The sequence below is a fragment of the Homo sapiens genome, chromosome 2, assembly GCF_000001405.40.
Source record: "Homo sapiens chromosome 2, GRCh38.p14 Primary Assembly".
NCBI lineage: Eukaryota > Metazoa > Chordata > Mammalia > Primates > Hominidae > Homo > Homo sapiens.
Window position 1 is genome coordinate 55,519,634 of NC_000002.12, and position 25,446 is coordinate 55,545,079.

Below are 25,446 nucleotides of genomic sequence, written 5' to 3' on the forward strand. Positions count from 1 at the left end.
GCCATAGCGACCATTTTGCATTAACTGGTTGGTAGCTTCTATCCTGGGGGCTGAGCGACTGCGGGCCAGCTCTTCCCCTACTCCCTCTCGGCTCCTTGTGGCCCAAAGGCCTAACCGGGGTCCGGCGGTCTGGCCTAGGGATCTTCCCCGTTGCCCCTTTGGGGCGGGATGGCTGCGGAAGAAGAAGACGAGGTGGAGTGGGTAGTGGAGAGCATCGCGGGGTTCCTGCGAGGCCCAGACTGGTCCATCCCCATCTTGGACTTTGTGGAACAGAAATGTGAAGGTAAAAACCAGAGCCCGAACCGACAATCCTTTTCTCCTCTCTCACACCAGCGGCGGGCAGGGGGTTGGTAACCACAAGCCATCTCTCGTCTCCCCGACCCCCTGTCTCCACCCCTGTCGCAAGGTCTCGTTCCCCTCACCACCTTCTCCACCCGCGTCATCAGGTTTAGAGCTGGTTGTGTGGGAGGAATTCCTTTCACCCTGCCAATGTGTTCCTTCGCAGACCTGAAAACGGGGACCGAGACTCCCCTTCTCTGGGGCCGAAGCGCACGTCCGAAGAACATTAGACTTGAATCGTAAATTCGGTCTCTCACCCTGTCCCGAACGTTTCTGCCCTCGGCAGGTGGACTGTTTGGCTGGGCTTCTTCAACAGCTTTGCCAGACTTGAGAGGAGAAGCGTCGGTTTACCTGAGTTCCTTATGATCCCTAGCATTTCGCCCGGTGTAGTCAGCTTAGGAAATGAGAAATGATTTCACTCCAAACCAACAGTTAACTGCAAAGGAGGGCATGTGATAACTCCAGGAAGCCCAGAGCCGGTGATTTTGGTGGCCTGTGTTCCCCTTGGTGAGCTCTCTACTCTTCGCTATACCAAAAATTGGCGAGGTGGGGCAGGACCATTCTTGGAACAAATGAGGCGTATAGATATGGCATAATATTCCCCGTGAAGGACAGGCATCTCCGGGTTCTGAGCAGTTCTTCAGGCTTGGAGTTCTGCATTCAGTTCGTGGAGACTATTTGCAGCCCATTCGCAGAAAAGGAACCAGAAACCACGTCATATAAATGAGTGCCCAAGCGTTATTGTGGTTGTTTAATCGGGCAAGACTTTGAGGGTAGTAGTATTCATCAATTATTTGAACATCTGCTTTGTGTTGTAAGGTTGAGTAGAATAGAGCTAGGGTCAGTTGGTACAAGCTACAGGGAAACAAATTTCAGTGAAGGAAGTGTTTCATGATAGAATGTATCCAAGATGAGTTAGCCAGCCTCAGAAGGTAATGAGCTTCCCGGCTCCAGCAGTGTTTGAATGGATCTGATAGCGACTTAATAGGGTTAGAGGGATTCAGCTATTCAGCTATCAAATGGTCGGTTATCCTGGATGACCTTTTAAGACTTCTTTAAATTCCAAGATATCATGAATCTGGTAAAGATGAAATTCAGTTTGACCACTGAATCTTTTCATTACATTTTCATTGCTATAATCAATATTCAAATCGTAGTTATTAAAGTGTTATTTTTACAGGTAATTTTTTAACAATGTTCAAAAACAAAATAACTTGTATTTGTACTCCTTTTTTTTTTTTTTTTTTGGGAGACAGAGTGTCGCTCTGTTGCCCAGGCTGGAGTGCAGTGGCGTGATCTTGGCTCACTGCATTGTTTTATACATATGATCATTCAGTAAACACTTGTTTTGATTTTATTTAACTTCATTATTTATCTGTGGTAACAAAAATTGCCTGGTCACTTTCAGTAACATTTACATCAGCAAAATTCCAGTACAATAAAATAATATGGAACCTATTGTAAAAGGATTTAACCATTAACAATAATATTACATTAAAAGTTATGAAGAAATTATTGCCTCATATTGATTGAAATGTGTTTTTGTCTTAAATATGAGGTAGTATTCATTTTAAATATTTTCTCAAGTAGGCAAAAAAGCTTGTTTACAATTAATAGTATATATGTGTGTGTGTGTGTGTGTGTGTGTGTATATTTTTTTTTCTTTTTTTTTTTTGAGATGGAGTCTCACTCTGCCGCCCAGGCTGGAGTGCAGTGGTGCAATCTTGGCTCACTGCAACCTCCGCCTCCTGGGTTCAAGCAATTCTCTTGCCTCAGCCTCCCGAGTAGCTGGGTCTACAGGCGCGCACAACCACGCCTGGCTGATTTTTGTATTTTTAGTAGAGATGGGATTTCACCACATCAGCCAGGCTGGTCTCGAACTCCTGATCGTAGGTGATCCACCCACCTTGGCCTCCGAAAGTGCTGGGATTACAGGCATGAGCCACAGTGCTCGGCCAATAGTATATATTTTTAGATATATTCATTTATATATTTTTAAAAGATAAACCCTAAGAATTCAAAGCTGAAGAGCTAGGTTGACAGTTCTATTTGGAAGGAGTGGATTTTTAAATTTGCATTAATAAAATGATTTGGTTTTTACACTATGTAATATTTTCTTTTAAATTTAGTTTTTGATGATGAAGAAGAAAGCAAATTGACCTATACAGAGATTCATCAGGAATACAAAGAACTAGTGAGTATTTTTTTTCACTGATTTTTAAAAGTAATTAGGCTAATACTACTTATAGCTTTTCTAAATGAAGAAAAATATTTTTACATTAAAAATCCTTAATTTTACAAAAATCCAATCTACCTTAACAATAGTGCCAGTTATATCTGTCTCCACAGGTGCTCTGAATATCTCATTTGGATGACTTATCTCCTCTACTCTAAGGAATGGTTTTACAACTCTTTATGGGTTCTTGCATGTATTCTTTATATCTTATTCTTATTTTGTTGACGCATCCAGGGACATATTAATTATTCACTTCGTCATGGTTGTCATGTGATTTTTTTATTTTTTATTTTTGAGACAGGGTCTTGCTCTGTCACCCAGGCTGGAGTGCAGTGGCACTATCACAGCCTATTGCAGCCTCAACCTCCCCAGGCTCAAGCGATCCTCCCATCTCAGCCACCTGAGTAGCTGGGACTACAGGTGTGCACCACCATGCCCTGCTAATTTTTTTGTATTTTGTAGAGATGGCGTTTCTCTGTGTTTCCCAGGCTGGTGTGGAACTCCAGAGCTCAAGTGATCCACCTGCCTGGGCCTCCCAAAGTGTTGGGTTTACAGGTGTGAGCCACTGCCCAGCCTGTCTTGTGATTTTAAAAAATGCCTCTGGCAGTGGGGCTCAGTGGCTCACACCTATAATCCCAGCACTTTGGAGGCCAAGGCAGGTGGATTGCTTCAGCCAAGGAGTTCGAGACCAGCCTGGGCAACATGGTGAAACTCCATCTTTATAAAAATTACAAAAATTAATCAGTCATGATGGCATGTGCCTGTAGTCCCAGTTGCTTGGGAGGCTGAAGTGGGAGGATGATCTCTTGAGCCCAGAAGGTCAAGGCTGCAGTGAGCCATTACTGTGCCACTGTACTCCAGTCTGGACAACAGAGTAAGACTCTGTCTCAAAAAAAAAAAAAAGAAAGAAAGAAAGAAAAGGCCAGGCGTGGTGGCTCATGCCTATAATCCCAGCACTTTGGGAGGCCAGGGCAGGCGGATCACCTGAGGTCAGGAATTCGAGACCAGCCTGACCAACATGGTGCAACGCCATCTCTACCAAAAAAAAAAAAAAAAATTAGTCGGGCATTGTGGCAGGCGCCTCTAGTCCCAGCTACTCAGGAAGCTGAGGCAGGAGAATTGCTTGAGCCTGGGAGGCAGAGGTTGCAGTGAGCCGAGATCGTACCACTGCACTCCAGCCTGGGTGACAGAGTGAGACTCCATCTCAAAAAAGAAAGAAAAGAAAAGAAGAAAAAAAAATGCCTCTGGGTAGCAGAAGAGTTGTACCACATTGAACTTCATAATCCTGACTTCAACTATTTCTATTAGAAGAAATACAATTTCATGTGATTTTCAGCAAAAATATTAACTTTTAATTTGTGTTTTGGTGAAAGACAATGTCACTGTCATGTAATATGTAGATTAATATTTGCAAAAAATTCGATGATACTTTTCTAAACTAAATACTTAATATGCAAACTGTCATGTAGAATTTTTCTATGTAATTATAAAAGTTAAACTTTGTTTTTTTAGGTTGAAAAGCTGTTAGAAGGTTACCTCAAAGAAATTGGAATTAATGAAGATCAATTTCAAGAAGCATGCACTTCTCCTCTTGCAAAGACCCATACATCACAGGTTTTTGCTTTGTGTTATTCTGCTAACATACAGTTTTAACAAATGCCCAGGGTTAAACACTCACTTAAATTTGAATGTTTGATTGACAAAGTGTAATATTTTAGACATTGTGAGAGGTAGAAAGATAATTCATCACATATGAGTTCTTTTTGAGAGCAACCCTGAAAAATGATAATTTGAGGCATTAATGAACTGATGCAACTCAAAGTGACCTTTCTAAACTCAGAACTAGAATAAGATCACAGGGTTTATACAAACTACTGTTTTATTTACATAGATCTCCAATAATTCTGCAGTTGCTCCTTTTATAATTTTAGCAGATCCACAGTCAGTAGTTCCTGCTGCTGCTTCCTTCTCTTGGAACTACTTGTATTATCTTACTGGTTGTGTAGTGCTAGGCTGAAGTAGTAATACATATGTTATAAACTAATGTTTGTTTTTGTTGTTTTTTTGATATGGGGTCTCACTCTATTGCTCAGGCTGGAGTTTAGTGTGATTGCAGCTCATTATAGGCTCAACATCCCTGGGCTCAGGTAATCCTCCCATCTCAACTTTCCTGGTAGCTGGGACTACAGGTGCCGCACCAGCACACATGGCTAATTTTTTTTTTTTTTTTTTTTTTTTTGTAGAGACAGGGTCTTGCTGTGTTGTCCAGGCTGGTCTTGAATGCTGGGCTCAAGGGATTTGCCCATCTTGGCCTCCCAAAGTGCTAGGATTACAGGCATGAGCCACCACGCCCAGCCTGTAAACTAATGTTTATTGAGGGCTTGTGCTAATTGATATTTTGGGCACTTGACATGTTTTATCTCATTTAATCTTCCTGACACCTCTTAAGAAACTGCTACTATATAACTTCCATTTAGAAATGAGGAAACCAGGCCCGGAGTAGTGGCTCACGCCTGTAATCCCAGTACTTTGGGAGGCCGAGGCGGGCAGATCACCTGAGGTCGGGAGTTCGAGACCAGCCTGACCAACATGGAGAAACCCCGTCTCTACTAAACATACAAAATTAGCTGGGCATGGTGGCACATGCCTGTAATCCCAGCTACTTGGGAGGCTGAGGCAGGAGAATCCCTTGAACCCGGGAGGCGGAGGTTGTGGTGAGCCAAGATCGCGCCATTGCACTCCAGCCTGGGCAACAAGAACAAAACTGTCTAAAAAAAAAAAACAAAAAAGAAATGAGGAAACCAAAGCACAGATATATTAAGCAAATAGTCCAAAGTCCACAGCTAAATAAGTAGTAGAGCCAGTATCCCCAGCCCAGGCAAGCCAACTGAGTGCCCTTGCTCAGAGGGTGAGGATTGGGATATGTTGCTACTACCCAAGTAGCCTTTTGCTCAAAAACTGAAGGCCAGGAAGTGGCTCATGCCTATAATCCCAGCACTTTGGGAGACCAAGACAGGAGGATTGCTTGAAGCCAGGGGTTCGAAACCAGCCTGGACAACATAGTGAGACCCCATCTTTAAAAAAAATATAAAAGTTAGCTTGTTGTAGGTTGTGGTGGTGTTCTCCCCAGAGTACCTACTCAGGATGCTGAAGTAGGAGCATCACTTGAGCCTAGGAGGTTGAAGCTGCAGTAAGACAAGATCATGCCACTGTACTCCAGCCTGGGCAACAGATTAGGACCCAACCCCAAAAAACAAAACATTGGCTTTGGCATCTCATCTTCTACTAAATAAACTGTAATTTCTTAGCAAGATATGGTAAGAATTGTTTAAGATGAGACTCCAGATTGTATTTTTAGCCATGATCCCTTGCTATAGTTCTCCAATACATTATGTTCTACTGCCATTCCAGGTAACTTGCTCTCTTTTTTTTTTCTTTTGAGATAGAGTTTCGCTCTTGTTGCTCAGGCTGGAGTGCAATGGCACAATCTCGGCTCACTGCAACCTCCGTCTCCTAGGTTCAAGTGATTCTCCTGCCTCAGCCTCCCAAGTAGCTGGGATTACAGGCTCCCACCACCATGCCCGGCTAAGTTTTTGTATTTTTAGTAGAGGCAGGGTTTCACTATGTTGGCCAAGCTGGAACACCTGACCTCAGGCGATCCACCCGCCTCGGCCTCCCAAAGTGCTGGGATTACAGGCGTGAGCCACCACGCCCTGCTGCCCCTTGCTCTTATAAGCATCTGTACACCTACCTTTGCTCATGCTGTCCCTTAACCTGGAATGTATGGTCCCCTCCCCAGACCACTCCATCATTCCTTTCATAATGCGGAGAAATCCTCATTATCAGGGCCTGGTTGAAATGCTACTTGTTATAGCAGCTTTGCTGCTTATTCTAAAGTCAGACCAGAATTCAATCTACTTAACTAGGCCAATTGTAAATTGATATTTTTGTTACTCTGCCTTGAATTATAGTTTCCTACAAGTCTATTTGCCCTACTAAATTGTAAGTCCTTTGAGCTGTGTTTAGTATATTTGCATTCCCTGCTGGTAGAACAGAGATGAAAACTTAGTTGCTAGTACATAGTTCTCAATAAATGTTTATTAATTTAAATTGTCTTGTTATGATGGCCTAGAAGAGGTTGCCTTGACTACTTTTTAATCCAGCACTTCCTCTTTTGCACAACTTTTCATTTGATGATCACCTTTAATTCTAGGAATAGAAAACCTTTTTTGTTTGTTTGTTTTTGTTTTTGAGACAGAGTCTTTCTCTGCCACCCTGGCTGGACTGCAGTCGCTCAGTCATAGTTCTATGCAACCTCTAACTCCTGGGTTCAAGTGAATCTCCTGCCTCAGCCTCCTGAGTAGCTAGGACTATAGGTGTGCACCATTATGCCTGGCTAATTTTTCAGTTGTTTTGTAGAGAGGGGGTCATGCTGTGTTGTCCAGGCTGGTCTTGAGGTCCTGGCATCAAGCAATCCTCCTGCCTCACCCTCCCAAAGCTCTGGGGTTACAGGTGTGAGCCACTACATTTTGGCTGGGTGTGATAGCTCATACCTGTAATCCCAATGCTTTGGGAGGCTGAGGCAGGAGGATTACTTTAGGCCAGGGTCTCAATACCAGCCTAGGCCACAATGCAAGACCCCATCTCTACAAAAAATAAAAATACAAGAATTAGCTGGGCATGGTGACACGCTGCTGTAGTCCTAGCTACTTGGGAAGCTGAAGTGGGAGGATTGCTTGAGCCCAAGAATTTGAGGCTGCAGTGAGCTATGACTGTACCACTGTATTCCAGCCTGGGCTGCAGAGTGAGACCCTGTCTCTAAAATAATAATAATAATAAAATAATTTAAATGTTATTGGTATGCCCACATTAATGTGAAAAAATCTGGCAATTTCCAAGAAGACATAACAATCTTTAATATGTATGTACCTAATAACAAAGCAACAAAATGTGTGAGGCAGAAACGGAACTGCAAGGAGAAATGGATGAATACATGATTATAGTTGGAGACTTCAACACCCTCTGTCAGTATTGGACAGATCCAGTAGTTAGAAAATCAGTAAAGACATAGTTGAACTAAACAGCACCTTCAGGCCAGGCACGGTGGCTCATGCCTGTAATCCCAGAACTTTGGGAGGCCGAGGTGGGTGGATCACTTGAGGTCAGGAGTTCGAGACCAGCCTGGCCAACGTGGTGAAACCCGTCTCTACTAAAAATACAAAAATTAGCCGGGTGTGGTAGTGGGCACCTGTAATCCCAGCTACTCAGGAGGCTGAGGCAAGAGAATCGCTTGAACCTGGGAGGTGGAGGTTGCGGTGAGCTGAGATCGCGCCACTGCACTCCAGCCTGGGTGACAGAACAAGACTGCATTTCAAAATAAATAAATAAATAAATAAATAAACAAACAACAGCACCTTCAGTCAACTGAATTTATTTGACATACACCACTTCATCCAATAATCAAAAATACACATTCTTCTCAAGATCACACAGAATGTTCGTCAAGACAGACTACATTATGGGCCATAAAACATACCTTAACAAATTTAAAAGAAGAGAGATCATACAGTGTCTGCTCTCAGACCACAACATAATTAAACTGGAAATAAATAACAAAAGATAATTGGAAAAAAACAAAATACTTGGAGATTAAACAACACACTCTAAAAAACACATGTGGGCCAGGCATGGTGGCTCATGCCTATAATTCCAGCACTTTGGGAGGCCAAGGTGGGCAGATTGCTTGAGCTCAGGAGTTTGAGACAAGCCTGGGCAACATGGTGAAACTCCAACTCTATAAAATACAAAAAAATTAGCAGGGTGATGTGGTACACACCTTCCGCCATGTTGGCCAGGCTGGTCTCAAACTGCTGACCTCAGGTAATCTGCCCACCTCAGCCTCCCAAAGTGCTGGGATTACAGGCATAAGCCACTGCGCCTGGCCACAATTTTTGTTTTATAGAATTATAAGGAATTATATAATTATATATAAAATATGTAATCATAGAATAATCATAAAGTATTATATTTTATAGAATTATAAACAAATGCCCCTCTTTATTGCTGATCATCTTTCTTGTTCTGAGGTCTACTTTATCTGAAACTAAATTAAGCTACTCCAGCTTTCTTTTTTTTTAAACAACTTTATTGAGATATAATTTGCATATCACAATACTGATCCTTTTGAAAAATTTTTTTTTTTTTGAGACGGAGTCTTGCTCTGTCACCCAGGCTGGAGTGCAGAGGTGCGATCTTGGCTCACTGCAACCTCTGTCTCCTGGTTCAAATGATTCTCCGGTCTCAGCCTCCTGAGTAGCTGGGACTACAGGTATGCACCACCGCACCTGGCTAATTTTTTTATTTTTTTAGTAGAGATGGGGTTTCACCATGTTGGCTAGGCTAATCTTGAACTCCTGACCTCAAGTGTTCTGCCTGCCTCAGCCGCCCAAAGTATTGGGTTTACAGGTGTGAGCCACCGTGCCCGGCTGAGAACCCTGTTTTAAAGGCTATTAAGATAAATTTTAAAATTGTCCTTTTGGGACATCTAATCATAAATAACAATGTAGCATTCTTGAATTAATCTACTGTTTTGCAGTAGAAATGGTTCGAATGTATGGGTAATAGTTTTAAAACTTGAATCTTCATTTCACTTGAGACTTCTTTCCACAGGCCATTTTGCAACCTGTGTTGGCAGCAGAAGATTTTACTATCTTTAAAGCAATGATGGTCCAGAAAAACATTGAAATGCAGCTGCAAGCCATTCGAATAATTCAAGAGAGAAATGGTAAAATGTTGAAGTTAGAAATCTAAGTACTAAATGCATTTTTTTTTACAGTTTTGACTATTCTAATATGGTCTTAAATGTAGCTGTCTCATGTACATTTATTTCAAGTTTGAAAGACTTCAGCTGACTTGAGATTTTAGAGTATATGGCTGGGTGCAGTGGCTCACGCCTGTAATCACAGCACTTTGGGAGGCTGAGGCGGGCAGACCATGAGGTCAGGAGATCGAGACCATCCCAGCTAACACAGTGAAACCCCGTCTCTACTAAAAATACAAAAAAATTAGCTGGGCGTGGTGGCGGGCACCTGTAGTCCCAGCTACTTGGGAGGCTGAGGCAGGAGAATGGCGTGAACCCGGGAGGTGGAGCTTGCAGTGAGCTGAGATCGCGCCACTGCACTCCAGCCTGGGTGACAGAGTGAGACCCTGTCTCAAAAAAAAAAAAAGAGTATAAACTTCCTGATTTGTATTTGACATCTCAAAGAAAGGAGACCAGAATTCAATGATACTTTGGATTTCACAGAGTTCAATTTTCTGCCCAGCCATTATGTTTATGAAGTTGAGTATTTTTGAATGGTCATAGTTGTGGTTACTGTTGAGAGGTGTCCATCCTTTTTCTGGCTTAAGATTGTTAGGACCTTTGTAGGAAGCAGTGGTTCTTTTTTTTTTTTTTTTTGAGACGGAGTCTCGCTCTGTTGCTCAGGCTGGAGTGCAGTGGCATGATCTCGGCTTACTGCATGCTCTGCCTTGCGGGTTTACACCATTCTCCTGCCTCAGCCTTCTGAGTAGCTGGGACTACAGGCACCTGCCACCACTCCGGGCTAATTTTTTGTATTTTTAGTAGAGATGGGGTTTCACCATGTTAGCCAGGATGGTCTCGATCTCCTGACCTCGTGATCCGCCCGCCTTGGCCTCCCAACGTGGCCGGAAGCAGTGGTTCTTAAGCTTTAGCAAGCATTGGAAATGGTTGGAGGGCTTGCTGAAGCACATATGGCTGCCTCCCAGTTTCTGATTTAATAGGTCTGGGGTACCGATAATTTGCATTTTTAACAATGATATGGTTTGGCTGTGTCCCCACCCAAATCTCATCTTGAATTCCCACGTGTTGTGGGAGGGACCCAGTGGGAGGTAATTGAATTTTGGGGGCAGGTGTTCCCCATGCTGTTCTTGTGATAGTGAATAAGTCTCATGAGATCTGATGGTTTTGGGAAAGGGGAGTCTTCCTGCACAAGCTCTCTCTTTGCCTGCTGTCATCCATGTAAGACGTGATTGCTCCTGTTTGTCTTCCGCCATGATTGTGAGGCTTCCCCAGCCATGTGGAAATGTAAGTCCGATTAAACCTCTTTCCTGTGTAAATTGCCCAGTCTCGGGTATGTCTTTATCAGCAGCATGAAAATGGACTAACACAAACAAGTTCCCAGGTGATGCTGAAGCTGCTAGTCCTGGGACCACACCAACACCCACTGTTCTAGGGCACTGGGCAGAGACAGATAAGCTTGTACCAGCATCATGTGGAAGACAAAATGGAACTCAAAGCCCTATTAACCCTGGTTGGCTTTATCTTTCCCCTGACCCTGTGCTTAAGTTCACTTTCTCTCTAGCTCTTCCTGCTCTTGTTCCCTTCTTGTGTACCTGAACTACATTTAACATCCTGACTCAAAACAGCCGAGTTTCTAACCATGCTACTTGTTATTGTACCATTTCCTTTCTAACCCAGATTATCATCTCTGTTTCAAATTTCTTGCTGTGGTAACCTCACCTTAATTTCTATGTCTTCGTTAGCTCAATAGATTGCCATGATATTTTTTTACCACGGCCCATAACCTCTTTAATGGCTTGGCAGCAGGACCTTTCCTTTGATTGTTTCTTGAAGATATGAGATCTATAGTTCAGTTGTATCGTTGGCTCTTAAGGGCCTGGAACATGCAACAATAGGGCTTCCGTTGTTGCATGGCAAACATGAGAATTTTGCATGGCCCTTACTGGGGAGTTTCCTCCTCATTTGACTGATGTGAGTAGAGACTCTTAGAGCCAGCCACCATCATAATCATCTACTAGAATCCCAAGATGCTTTCCCCAGCAGCTAATAGCGCTGTTGTCTGTGGGTAGGGGGAAAACACCACCCTAACCCTGAAGAATCCATGACATAGTGCTATTACTTTGATGTGAATAAGTCTGGAAAATAGTCTCTTTCTACTGTGGTTTGCTCTATAAAATCCTTGCCTCTGAATTTTCCTGAAAACTATGCTTTATTCTGACTTACGGGTTAGACAATTTTAGTAAGTATGTTAGTAAACAAATTTTTTTAGGGGATCAGGAAAAGAAATAGTGAACTTGACAATGGCATTCTTTAGTTTTCAGTTTGGAATTTAATTGGAAACTCATTTAGATTTTAATAAAAAGGGAATAAATATATATCTTGTATCATGTGGATGCCTTAGGCTGTCAGTAACAGAACACTCCAGTGAAGAAAAGATCTCCCAGAACAAGAAGTCCAGAGGAAGGGAGAGAAGGAAGACAGGTTCGGGATTGGTTAATTTAGTGGCTCACTGATCTAATCAAGGACCCCGACACTTTGCATCTTTATACTCTGCCATTCTCAGAATCTTCTCTCATGATTGTACTCTGGCTGTATTGAATGCAGACTCAACAGTGTCTTATGAAGAAATGGAATATTTCCTCCTGTACATCTCTTTTTGTTAGCAAGACAACAATTTCATGGAAACCCTCCAGTTTTTCCCTCAGGTCCTATTGATTAGGATTGGGGTCACTTGCCTTTCTTAAACCATCTGGCAAGGGGAATGAGACCATTATGATTGGCTTGAACCAATTAGGAGTCACTCTCCTGGGATTGGGGAGGGCCCTGCCTCTAAGTAGTTAGCTGCCTGATAATTCTGCAAAAGCTGGCTTCTATTAGCAAGGGAGGAGGAGGGGAATGATGTAGAATAATGACTATTGTCAGGCCACAGCATGGGGCATTTTACTTACATTTAAACATAAGGTAATACTTAGTTTCTGCTACAGAATTTCTAATACATGTACTTAAGAGTTTTGCTGGCTGGGAACAGTGGCTCATGCCTGTGGTCCCAGTGCTTTCAGAGGCTGAGGCAGGAGGATCGCTTAAGCCCAGCCTCAGACTTCTGTTTGAGGCTGCAGTGAGCTATGATAGTACCACTGCGTGCCAGCCTGGGCAACAGAGCAAGACCCTGTCTCAAAATTAAAAAAAAAAAAAGAAAAAGAAAAGAAAGAATGTTGCCTGACTAAGATCCAGGGGTGAATACCTTAGATTAATGTTGATTATACTCAAAACTGCAGACTATTTGAAAATAGTTCTTAATGATGAGAAAAAGTCAAAGGCTCTCTGGATTCTTTTTTATCTTTTTGGTGCCTTATTAAAGAATTTAGAGAAATTGCAAATGAGAGTATTATTTTGATGGTTTTTAAGTACTTCATACTGTTGTGTTATTCTTAGTACTTTCAGTTTTCCTCAGGAAGATTATTAGGAGAATAATAATTTTATATCTTTTGACTGAGCAAAAATGCACTTAAGATTAATGGATTAGTTAGATGTCAGTTTTCTGATTGTGATATTGTACTACTATAGTTTTGTAAGATGTTACCACTTGGGGAAGCTGGGTAAAGAGTATATAGCAGATTTCTGCATTATTTCTTACAATTGCACTTACCTCAAAATAAAACATTTAATTTAAAAAAATGTATATAAACATCAGGAGGATTAGAGTAATAAAGCTACTTAAGAGTAGACCCAAAATCCTACAGTCATATGTGGATAAAGAAATGGAAGGTAAAAATTAAGAAGCATTCTGCTAATGTTGTGGAATGTAATAATTACAGATGCAAACAGAACAATTATTACCAGTCCACCTGCTTCGCAGGAAGATAAAAGTAATAAAGTAAATTAAACCAATATTTTAAGTTACTTTTTATTTTCTTGGGCTCAAGTTGCTACTTCCCTGGTTTATAATTATTAGACCAACATCTGAATAGAAGCTTCAAGGGCAGAGATCGTTTTATTCATCTTTGTATCCCCCCAAAGTGCTTAACACCATGGTTTTATTACACATAGTAAGCAGCGCCCTTTTCAATAACATCTGTTATAATATAAATGAAGACTTTTAATGCTATTTCAATTAGCAAAATTATATTTTGTTTTGTGACTCTTCTCATTTAAGGGACACCTTTGAGAGCAGTTTCATTATTAAGCCTAACTCAATGATTTCCGTAGTATATTCTTAGACACTATATGATTATGGAAGAGAAAAACATATTAACAAATTTTTGTTGCCATACATTGTTATTTTTAATTGCCAATAAAATAATTACTAAGAGATATTTGTAGTTAAAAGTGTGGGGTTTTTGGTGGGGCTTATTCTGTAAAATAGGAAAAGGCTTAAAAGATGATAGTTAAAAATGGCCGGGAATGGTGGCTCACGTCTGTAATCCCGGCACTTTGGTAGGCCGAGGGGGGCAGATGACTTGAGGTCAGGAGTTTGAGACCAGCCTGCCGACATGGTGAAACCCCATCTCTACTAAAAATTAGCTGGGTGTGGTGGTGGGCAGCTGTAATCCCAGCTACTCTGGAGGCTGAGGCAGGAGAATCGCTTGAAGCTGGGAGGCAGAGGTTGCAGTGAGCCCAGATCGTGCCACTGCACTCCAGCCTGGGCGACAGAAAGAGACTCTGTCTCAAAAAAAAAAAAAAATATATATATATATAAAATAAAAGATGATAGTTAAAAAGATAATAGCTTAGGATGTTACAGTGATAGATCTGAAGGTAACTTGTACTTAAGGAACGAGAACAGTGAGAAATATATGTTTTTAATGGAGTTGATACTATTTCATGTGGTCTTTGGTTTTGAACAGGTGTATTACCTGACTGCTTAACCGATGGCTCTGATGTGGTCAGTGACCTTGAACACGAAGAGATGAAAATCCTGAGGGAAGTTCTTAGGTACCATTCTTTAATTGTTTTTTAAATGAATCATTATTAATATTATATGATCTGTACATATGCTTTTTGCCCAACAAATATGAACTAATAAAATTGCTAAATTCTCTACTGAAAACCATCAAAATGATCTATCAATTTATGACTGTGGATATATTTCTTAGTGACAGAAAAAGTTATTTTCAGGTAACTTATACCAGATCAGTCCAAATGAAAGGGTCTTTTTACACCCGCATCATAGGAATAGGAAAGTAGCCACCAATGGGAAAAAGTTGCAGTAGACCTAGCCTGATCTCTGGAGAGAGGTATAATGACTTGAGCTAAACAGCTTACTCCTTGGCTTCTGGATCTCACTATGGAGGTGGCATATTCTAGGTGTCACATGGTAGGAGGCTGGGCATCCAGATTCCACAGATTGAATAGCTGACTTGGTGATAGTAACCTTCAAGGGAGGGATGACAGAGGCGTCTATCCCAGATGAGTATCTTGCCGGTCTCCTTGTTTCCCCAGTTAAATGATTCTCAGCCAAATGCCTGGCAAAGAGTGTGCAGACCACTAATGGGGTCCACACAGAACTAAGAAATGGTAATGGACATTTCTTTTTCTTTTGGGCCTGTTGTGCCCTGACCTTTATGGGAATTTTGGAAGGAAGGGGCAGTAGTAGCTCCTAATTTTTAAATCTCCTGTGAGAATATATTAGATTTAGGGCAAAAGGATGCCTATAATCACAGTGTCACTTGCAGACTGTGGCCTTGGCCTTTGGGGTCACTTCTTCTCCAACTATACTACCACACATGACCATCTTCTAGCATCCTACAGTTCCCCCCACTTAGGTACTTTGTCCCACCTCCAAAGCAGAAGAGAGGATCAGAGGATGGGCCTGATGGGAAACTATGGCAGGAGCTCCAGGATGCAGTGCTTAATTTCGGGGGTTTGAGTGATTATGGAGAGGGTAGCAGATATGCAGTTGAACTCAACCCTTTCTTGCCACATCCCTCCTTGGATGGCAGGGGCAAATGGGAGCCTGAGACAACACAGAATGCTTTGAGTTTACAGGTTTGAGATGTAAGGGTGTTTGGTTCAGAGGACTGGTAAAGTTTTGATTTGGACTGGTTGTGTTGGTTGATTGGTGGCCTGAAAACTGGTCAGCACTGTATTTTTAGATTTTATTTTCCAAGAGCTTTTGAGGGGATATACTACTGTGTAAGTAATAGAACTTAGTTATGAACATGTATAACAGTTGACCTTGGTTACTTTCGAAAAGCACTGTCTCAGTGAACAGTTTACAAAAGTTGATGGGCTTTGGCACAGTGGTATCACAAGTGCTTGATGATAGCTCAGATGCCATTGGAACAATGACATTTTATCAAGAGGGGTATAATGGCTCTTATCAAGAGGGGTGTAATTGATCACTCTAAAGAGGGTGATTGAAGTCCTTATTAATGGGATTTGCCATTCAAATTTGGGTTCAGGATTTCAAATCTGTTGATCTTTATTCAGCTAGGGTTCATTCAGAGTTCTAGAAGAAATGGGTAGACCTGTATTTTGTGTTACTAACTGTATTATGCTGTATGCCTATGTATGTCTTTCCCAGTTGACTGTAAGCCACTTTAGAGCAAGGCTTGATTATCTTCCATCTTTGTGTCTAATGTGCCTTTTATTGTAAGCTTAGGTTAGCATGTTGCTTAGTTGAATATTTGTTCTTTGACCAAAAAAGGAAATTTATCTTTTTATCTTATTTTTGTATATTTCAGAAAATCAAAAGAGGAATATGACCAGGAAGAAGAAAGGAAGAGGAAAAAACAGGTGCCTACAGAACATATAACAGAAGTATTTTATTGCTGTTATCTCTTATTAAGTTTACACCTAGATCTTACTATTAAAATTTATACTTATGTGGAACTACATAATTTTAAGTACAATGTAAATATTGACCAATAATATTAATATATCAATAATTCTATGTATGTCGTGCATTACTGCTGGCCACCATATTATATAGTACTATATATACTTAACTGTATATAGTACAAACACCACATAGTACTAATTAATCTTACAGGACATGCATATAAGCAAGAGTAGTCATTTTTTTTGGCAAGTTTAAGCATTTGTTTTTAACTTTTTATACTTTTTTCTCCTTCTTTATTTTTGTCCTGGTAACTCACAGAACAACATTTTTTTTTTTTTTTTGAGATTGAGTCTCATTCTGTCACCCAGGCTGGAGTGCAGTGGTGTGATCTTGGCTCACTGCAACCTCTGCCTCCGGGGTTCAAGCGATTCTCCTGCCTCAGCCTCCAGAGTAGCTGGGATTACAAGCGTGCGCCATCACGCCTGGCTAATTTTTGTATTTTTAGTAGAGACGGGGTTTCACCACGTTGATCAGGCTGGTCTTAAACTCCTGACCTCGTGATCTGCCCGCCTCGGCCTCCCAAAGTGCTGGGATTACAGGTGTGAGCCACCATGCCCGGCCAGAACAACCTTTTATACTCTTTTATTTATTTATTTTTTTGGAGACAGTCTCACTCTGACACCTGGGCTGGAGTGCAGTGGCGCAATCTCGGCTCACTGCAACCTCTGCTTCCCAGGTTCAAGTGATTCTCCTGCCTCAGCCTCCCAAGTAGGTGGGATTACAGGCGTGTACCACCACGCCCAGCTAATTTTTTGTATTTTCAGTAGAGACAGGGTTTCACCATGTTGGCCAAGCTGCTCTTGAACTCCTGACCTCATGTGATCCACCTGCCTGCCACTGTGCCTGGCCAACTTTTTATACTTCTTAATATATAAAGTATATACTTTTTTTTTGAGACTGAGTCTTGTTGTATTGCCCAGGCTAGAGTGCAGTGGCGTGATCTTGGCTCACTGCAACCTCTGCCTCCCAGGCTCAAGCGATTCTCGTGCCTCAGCCTCCCCAGTAGCTGGGATTATAGGTGCCTGCCACCACTCTTGGCTAATTTTTGTACTTTTAGTAGACAGGGTTTCACCATGTTGGCCAGACCGGTCTCGAACTCCTGACCTCAGGTGATCTGCTGGCCTTGGCCTCCCAAAATGTTGGGATTACAGACATGAGCCACTGTGCCCGGCCAAAAGTATATACTTTCTTATAAGAGTGTATACTTTATACTTTCTTTTAAAGAGGCCAGACGTGGTGGCTCACTCCTGTAATCCCAGCACTTTGAGAGGCTGAGGTGGGTGGATCACTTGAGGCCAGGAATTCGAGACCAGCAACATGGCAAAACCCCATCTCTACTAAAAATGCAACAATTAGCCGAGCGTGGTAGTGCACACCTGTAATCCCAGCTACTCAGGTGGCTCAGGCATGAGAATCATTTAAATCCAGGAGCCGGAGGTTGCAGTGAGTCAGGATCACACTACTGCACTCCAGTCTGGGTGACAGAGTGAGACTCTGTCTCAAAAGAAAAAAAAAAGAAAACTATAATATCTTTGGATCCTTTAGGTAGTGAATTAGTTAAAATGAATCTAAATTGTGTGTTTTTTAAAAAATTGTATTATGGAATCCTGAAGTTATCAGAGGCTAAAACAGAAGAGCCCACAGTGCATTCCAGTGAAGCTGCAATAATGAATAATTCCCAAGGGGATGGTGAACATTTTGCACACCCACCCTCAGGTAAGGTTGAGGTGTACTGAACTTTCTCTAATAATATGAATACATAAACACCATATAGAATGTGCCACTTTCTCATACTTATTTAACTTCAAAAGCCCTGGGAGGGAGTATTGAATGTCTTTGGTATTTAACGTTCTTTGTGAATTTGGTTAAAGAGGTTGCAGACGAGATACTGACCTGAAAGAGAGCGTATAGTCCTCAAGTTTCCGTGTAAAGCCTGGAACCCAGAGTAGAGAGCAAAACTCCTTGAGGGAGTAACTAGCCTTTGTGCATGACTGCAGCTTACAAGAGAGGTTCACATAACATTTGGTATTCTCTTCCATGCTTACAGTTGTATGGTATTTGTTAGTGAGAAGCTGAACTTGGAAAGATAATATTAAATTTCTTTTCCAATGAATTAAGTACAGCTAGAAAATAAGAGGTAGCCATTTTGTCCAGATATTTGGTCAGAAATCATATCTTTGAAATCAAAATTTATAGGAATCCTTGTAGGAAATACTAGTGGATGACCTTTTCAACATGTGGCAAATCTATTCTCAATATGAACTGATTTTCTATATAAGAAAACAAGTAATTCTGAAACAGAAATTATGGTCATGAATTCAGTTCATTTTATTATGGATTCCTATGGTTTTAAATAAATGTCCTTTTCTCAATTAAAAAAATATACTCTGTGAGGTAGATATTATAATCCTTGTTTTTCTTTTATCTTTTTTTTTTTTTTTTGAGTCAGAGTTTTGCTGTTGTTGCCCAGGCTAGAGTGCAATGGTGTGATCTCGGCTCACCATAACCTCCACTTCCTGGGTTCAAGTGATTCTCCTGCCTTAGCCTCCTGAGTAGCTGGGATTACAGGCAGGCACCACCACGCCCAGCTAATTTTATATATTTAGTAGAGATGGGGTTTCTACATGTTGGTCAGGCTGGTCTCGAACTCCCAACCTTAGGTGATCTGCTTGCCTTGGCCTCCCAAAGTGCTGGGATTACAGGCATGAGCCACTGTGCCTGGCTACTCTTATCTTTTTTAAAAAAATTATTTTTGTTGAGTCGGGTGTTGCTGTGTTGCCCAGGCTGGGTCTCAAACTCCTGGCCTCAAGTGATCCTCCTGCCTCAGCCTCCCAAAGCACTAGGATTATAGGCATGAGCCACTGTACCCATCCCTTCTTTTTTTTTTTTTTAAAGAAATTCAAGGAAGCTGAGCGACTTGTCCAAGATCACCGAACTCTTCAATGGTGAAATTATGACTTACCTTGGTCTTCTGACACTAAATATATTCTTCTAAACCTTAGTTTAGAAGAACTTCTATAATTGAGATTAGTGTGATGTTTACCCATTAATTTTTTAATGTAAGTTGGAGAACACCTTTCTTTAATATGCCTAATTTAAGCTGTTTTAGGTTCACAGTAAAATTGAGCAGAAGGTACAGAGATTTCCCCCATATAGTCCCTGCCCTAGTACATGCCTAGCCTCTCCCATTATCGACCCCCTCAAAAGTAGTACATTTGTTACGTTGGTGAACCTTCCTTGACACAACATTACCAACCAAAGAGCATAGTTTACATTAGGGTTCACTCTTGCTATTGTATATTCTGTGGATTTTGACAAATGTATGATGACATGCATTCACCATTATAGTATCATGTAGTATACAGTTTCATTGCCCTAAAAATTCTTTGTGCTCTGCCTATTCATCCTTCCCACCTCCTAGCCCATGGCAACCACTGATCTTTTACTGTTTCCACAGTTTTGCCTTTTCTAGAATGTCATATAGTTGAAATCATACAGTAGTACGTAGCCTTTTCAGATTGGCTTCTTTCACTTAGTAATAATCCATTTAAGATTTCTCCATGTCTTGTCATGGCTTTGTAGCTCATTTCTTTTTAGTGCTGAATAATATTCCATTGTCTGGATGTGCCACGGTTTGTTTATTCATTTATCTGCTGAAGAAAATCTTGGTTGCTTCCAAGTTTTGACAATTATGAATAAAGCTGCTATAAACATCAGTGTGCAGGTTTTTGTTTGGACATAGCTTTCAGCTCCTTTGGGTAAATACCAATGAGCATGATTGTTATATCTTACAGTAAGAGTATGTTTAGTTTTGTAAGAAAGTGCCAAACTGTGTTCTAAAGCGGCTATACCATTTTGCATTTCCATAGCAGTGAATGAGCGTTCTTGTTGCATCCTTGCCAGCATTTGGTGTTGTCAGTGTTCTGGATTTGGAGTATTCTAGTAGGTGTGTAGTGGTATCTCATTGTTGTTTTATTTGCATTTCCCTGATGACATGATGTGGAGCATCTTTTCATATGCTTGTCATCTATGTATCTTCTTTGGTGATGAGTCTGTTAAGGTTTTTGACCCATTATATTTGTTGGGTTGTTTGTTTTCTTTTTGTTAATTGGGTTCATTTTCTTATTGTTGAATTTTAAGTGTTCTTTGTATATTTTGAATAACAGTCCTTTATCAGATGTGTCTTCTGAAAATATTTTCTTCCAGTCTGTGGCTTGTCTTCTCATCCTCTTGATACTGTCTTTTACATAGCAGAAATTTTAATGAAGTTCAGCTTATTAATTATGTCTTTCATAGGGTGTGCCTTTGGTGTTGTATCAAAAAAGTCATCACCATACCCAAGGTCACCTAAATTTCCTCCTATGTTATCTTCTAGGATTTTTATAGTTTTACATTTTACATTTAGGTCTGTGATCTATTTTGAATTATTTTTTGTGAAGGGTGTAAAGTTTGTGTCTAGATTCATATTTTTTCTTTCAGATGTCCATTTTCCTTTCCTCACCGTATTGCCTTTGCTCCTTTGTCAAAGATAAATTGATTATATTTATGTGAGTTTATTTCTGGGCTCTCTATTATGTTCTGTTGATCTATTTCTCCATTCTTTTGCAAATACCACACTCTCTTGATTACTGTAGTTTGAAGTCTCCAAGTTGGGTAGTGTCAGTCCTCCAATTTTGTTCTTCAATATTGTGTTGGCTATTCTGGGTGTTTTGCCTCTCCATATAAATGTTAGAATCTGTTTGTCAGTATCCACAAAATAACTTGCTGAAATTTTGATTGATATTGTATTGAATCTGTAGATCATGTTGGGAAGAACTGACATCTTGACATTGAGTTTTCCTGTCCATAAACATGGAATAGGCCGGGCATGGTGGCTCATGCCTGTAATCCTAGCATTTTGGGAGGCCAAGGCGGGAAAACTGTTCGAGCTCAGGAGTTCAAAACCAGCCTGGGCAATTTGGCGAAACCCTGTCTTTACAAAAAAAATACAAAAATTAGCCAGGCATGGTGGTGCACGCCTGTAGTCCCAGCCTCTAGGGAGGCTGAGGCAGGAGAATTGCTTGAGCCCACGAGGTGGATGTTGCAGTGAGTTGAGATTGCATCACTGCACTCCAGCCTAGGTGATAGAGTGAGACCCTGTCTCAAAAAAATAAAATAAAAAAATAAAAAAAAGGCCAGGAGTAGTGGCTCACACCTGTCATCCCAGCAATTTGGGAGGCCGAGGTGGTGGATCACTTGAGGTCAGGAGTTTGCGACCAGTGTGGCCAACATGGTGAAACTCCATCTCTACAAAAAATACAAAAAATTAGCTGGGCATCGTGGCAAGTTCCTGTAATGCTAGCTACTCGGGAGGCTGAGGCAGGAGAATCGCTTGAACCCGGGAGGAAGAGGTTGCAGTGAGCCAAGATCGTGCCATTGCACTCCAGCCTGGGCAACAAGAGCGAAACTTCATCTCAAAATAAAATAAAATAAAAACCATGGAATATTTCTCCATTTATTTAGTTCTTTGATTTCTTTCATTAGAATTTTGTAGTTTTCCTCATATAGATCTTGTGCATATTTTGTTATATTTTATATCTAAGTATTTCATTTTTAGGGGTGCTGTGCTAATGTAAATGGTATTTTTAATTTTAAATTCCATTTATTCATTACTGGTATAAAGGAAAGTGATAAACTGTTATTAATTTGTATCCTGTAACCTTGCTATATAATTATTCATTTCAGTTTTTCTGTCAATTGTTTTGCATTTTCTACATAGATGATCATGTGTTCTGCAAATAAAGACATTTTTATTTATTCCTTCCCAATCAGTGTACCTTTTATTTCCTTTTCTTGTCCTAGTGGATTAGGTAGGACTTCTAGTATGATGTTGAATCAGAAAGGTGAGAGAGGGGACATTTTTGCCTTGTTTCTGATCTTAGTGAGAAACCTTCTAATTTCTCACCATTAAGTATTGTGTTAAGTTTTAGAGTTTTTCGTACTCTTTATGAAGTTGAGGAAGTTCCTCTCTATTCCTAGTTTACTGAGAGCACCCATTAATTTTAAGGAGTTAGATTCTTATTTGACAGAAAAACAGGAGTATATTGAATCAGAAGCAGATCTGTGAAGTTACCTTGCTTCTTTGTACCAAGTCAAACCATTTCTTTTTTATATATATGCTACAGATTGTAAGGAGAAATAGCCTCATTTTAATGATATATATGAAAGCTCCTGCTTTAGGTTTGTCTGTGCTCTAGTTTGCTGACCCAAATTAACTTTGTTTTATATACACCTAAGTACATACACTATTTAAATCTTGTGTCTAACATAAATTGAATAAATTTGCTTTGTCTGCTTTCTTATCTAAGTGAAGCTATAGAAAACTTGATCTCAAACCACATATAATTCAGTTGTACACATTAATGGTACACCATAAATGGTAGATCTCAAAAGTAATGATTTCAATTTTTAAAATAATTTTTTTCAAATGCGCATATCTGATATTTCAGAGAATCACTTCGTACAAAGTGATGGAAGCCCAGTATGAAGACCTGAGTTTGGAAGAATCATGAAGTTGTTTGAGCTTCTGCTTTGTCCTTTTGCCTGTCTTTCCCTCATTCCTGCCAGCAATGGATAGTGTCTTTTCTCAGATTGATGCAGATTTGCCAGAGATGAGATGATCTTTCTTTAGGTTTTCTGGCTTTCTGATCTTCCCTTCCTAGAAATTAGAGAAGCTAAGTATTTGGCTTCAAGTACTTTCCTTTCTAGGCCTGAGAATATACGTATGTTCATAATTAACAAACCCAAGGCAAGAACTGTCCAGAGAAAGAACATGAGTGGAATATAAATGCTTATATGTATGGGTTCCCCCCTCCTCAGGAATTATTTGAACTGTCCCTTCTCCAGTTCTGTGAGTCCACTGAGGGCTAAGCCTACCTCTGCTAACGTCACTCTCAGTAATAACAGCGGTGTTTTACCTCTATCTTTATTTCTGTTAGTTATGTAGCTCCCTGTCTAGGTTGGTTTGGAGTGCTGGTTACAGCTTATCTTTTCCATGGAGATTTCCCTTATTGTCCAAGGGTCTGGAGAGCTTTTCTTCCTTCAACCTCTCTGGCACTGTAGTCAGTCTGGTCACTGCTAGAGGAGTGGTCTGTTGTCAAGTTTCTTGCACAGACAAAATTCTGTTTTCTGTTTTAGTATGTATGCTGGCAAGGTATTTTTTTTTTTTAACTGGCAGGATCAACCAGGTGTGGCAAAAATTTTAATCATTTAGACATGTGTGCCATGTTTTCCCATCATGCTTTTAGATCTTAGCATCATTTTAATGTCTTTGCTTGTCTCAGTGTGCTTTCTTTCATAGCCCATGTATTTACACTGAAAATGTTTTATCTTTTTAAAAACAATCACCTTATAATAAAAAATGGCTCAGAGGAGCAATTAGAATGTTAACTCTCTCTCTTGGTTGGCACAGTCACCAAATGGCTGGAAAGTATTTAGTGCTCATGTTTATATGTGCTTCCAAGTTCTGCTTGCTTTAGAAATCTTTACATTTTCATAATGCACTGGCAGGTTTATAGTTATCTTCAATACATAATTATAAACAAAAATTATTGACATTACTGGCATGCACTCTTGCAATACAAAAAATTATAGTTTTACATTAATTGTTCTGAAAGTATAGGGTGACTTTTTACATGCAAGCAAAAGTTTGGAAACCAATTACATTGTAGTAAGGGATTAGTATACTGTTTATTTGGATTATGTGGCAATCTTATATTATAGTGTAGTTCTAATCTTTAGACAAGGATTTTAGCTTTTTGTAGCTATAGTACTGTACAAACAGCAGAAGCATGGTACTTGTTGAGAAGTAGGTGAGAAACTGTAGTTCCAAGCTCCTTAAGGATAGAGACATGATGTTTACTGTTCTTACCCAGTGGCTGGCACAGTATAGGCACTGAATATATGTTGACTGAATGACTATGAGGAAAAACAAGTATTATTAACATTAGCTCATTTCGGTAAACCTAGCCTAACACTTAAAATATTTCTCATAATATTCTAATTGCTCTTATTGTCTACTTATTGCCAGAAGTTAAAATGCATTTTGCTAATCAGTCAATAGAACCTTTGGGAAGAAAAGTGGAAAGGTCTGAAACTTCCTCCCTCCCACAAAAAGACCTGAAGATTCCTGGCTTAGAGCATGCGAGCATTGAAGGACCAATAGCAGTAAGTAAACGACATCACTTAAGAACTATAAGCAAAATGACAAGGTACTGGGAAATCAAACTTCGAATTGAATCACTCAGTGGGCATCTGTGCTACTTACTAAATGGATTTGAATTTAGATAGCTCCTTTTCTTACTTGACCCAGAACTTATCAGTACTTGGAACAGAAGAACTTCGGCAACGAGAACACTATCTCAAGCAGAAGAGAGATAAGTTGATGTCCATGAGAAAGGATATGAGGACTAAACAGATACAAAATATGGAGCAGAAAGGAAAACCCACTGGGGAGGTAGAGGTATGGCTAGCCTTAATATGTCAAGATTTACAAATCTGGTGGTGGAACTATCAAAATCAGAATATGTGCAAGAAAGCCTCTAATAAATTTTGCTTGCAGACCCATTCATATTAATCACCTCCTAGTGCAGTAGCTGCTAAGTCTTTTCTAGGAAGTGAAATTGTTGTGATAAGGATTTTTTGAGGCAGAAAATAGCGGTGTCATTATACATTTTTTTCTTATGCTGTTTCTTTACTTGCCCTTCTCTGAGTATGTCAGGGTTGGTGGTCTGTTTCACCTGGGCATTCTGAAATGTTTTATCATAGAGCAGCATCAGTACCACCTTTATCATAGAGCACATCAGCCACCACTTCCCAGAGGGGTTCTCCAAGAAGAGACTTTACGAAGAAGAGATTTAGGAAACCTAGTCTATGTCTGTCTCTCCCTCCGTCCCACAAGAAGGTGCCCCCGATTTTTGTTCATTTGAGGCAGTATGTTGGGAATTTTAGACAAATTACCCTATTTCATACTGTAGCCAATTTTTTCTTTTTTTTTCAGGAAATGACAGAGAAACCAGAAATGACAGCAGAGGAGAAGCAAACATTACTAAAGAGGAGATTGCTTGCAGAGAAACTCAAAGAAGAAGTTATTAATAAGTAATAATTAAGAACAATTTAACAAAATGGAAGTTCAAATTGTCTTAAAAATAAATTATTTAGTCCTTACACTGA

The 25,446-nt window shown here is 40.3% G+C and overlaps 1 protein-coding gene across 4 annotated transcripts, besides 1 other annotated feature; it reads left to right on the plus strand.

Moving 5' to 3' along the window:
- The first annotated feature begins 84 nt into the window (after positions 1 to 84).
- Positions 85 to 25,446, plus strand: CFAP36 (cilia and flagella associated protein 36). 4 transcript variants are annotated; one of them, NM_001282761.2, is made up of 11 exons: positions 85 to 283; positions 772 to 846; positions 2,469 to 2,533; positions 4,088 to 4,189; positions 9,245 to 9,359; positions 14,240 to 14,327; positions 16,079 to 16,130; positions 17,850 to 17,952; positions 24,305 to 24,441; positions 24,587 to 24,736; positions 25,274 to 25,446. In NM_001282761.2, exons 1-11 carry the CDS (start codon positions 169 to 171, stop codon positions 25,373 to 25,375), a joined length of 1,104 nt encoding a protein of 367 aa, NP_001269690.1. In that variant the 5' UTR covers positions 85 to 168; the 3' UTR covers positions 25,376 to 25,446. The 4 variants fall into 4 exon arrangements, with proteins under 4 accessions (NP_001269690.1, NP_542398.3, XP_047299042.1 ...); NM_080667.7 differs by lacking the exon at positions 772 to 846; XM_047443086.1 differs by lacking the exons at positions 85 to 283; positions 772 to 846; positions 2,469 to 2,533; positions 9,245 to 9,359.
- Positions 616 to 865: an enhancer, noted in NCBI's record as "active region_15782". NCBI's record gives its function as "activates an Ori minimal core promoter by ATAC-STARR-seq in GM12878 lymphoblastoid cells {active_cell/tissue: GM12878}" and the evidence as "EXISTENCE:reporter gene assay evidence [ECO:0000049][PMID:35858748]".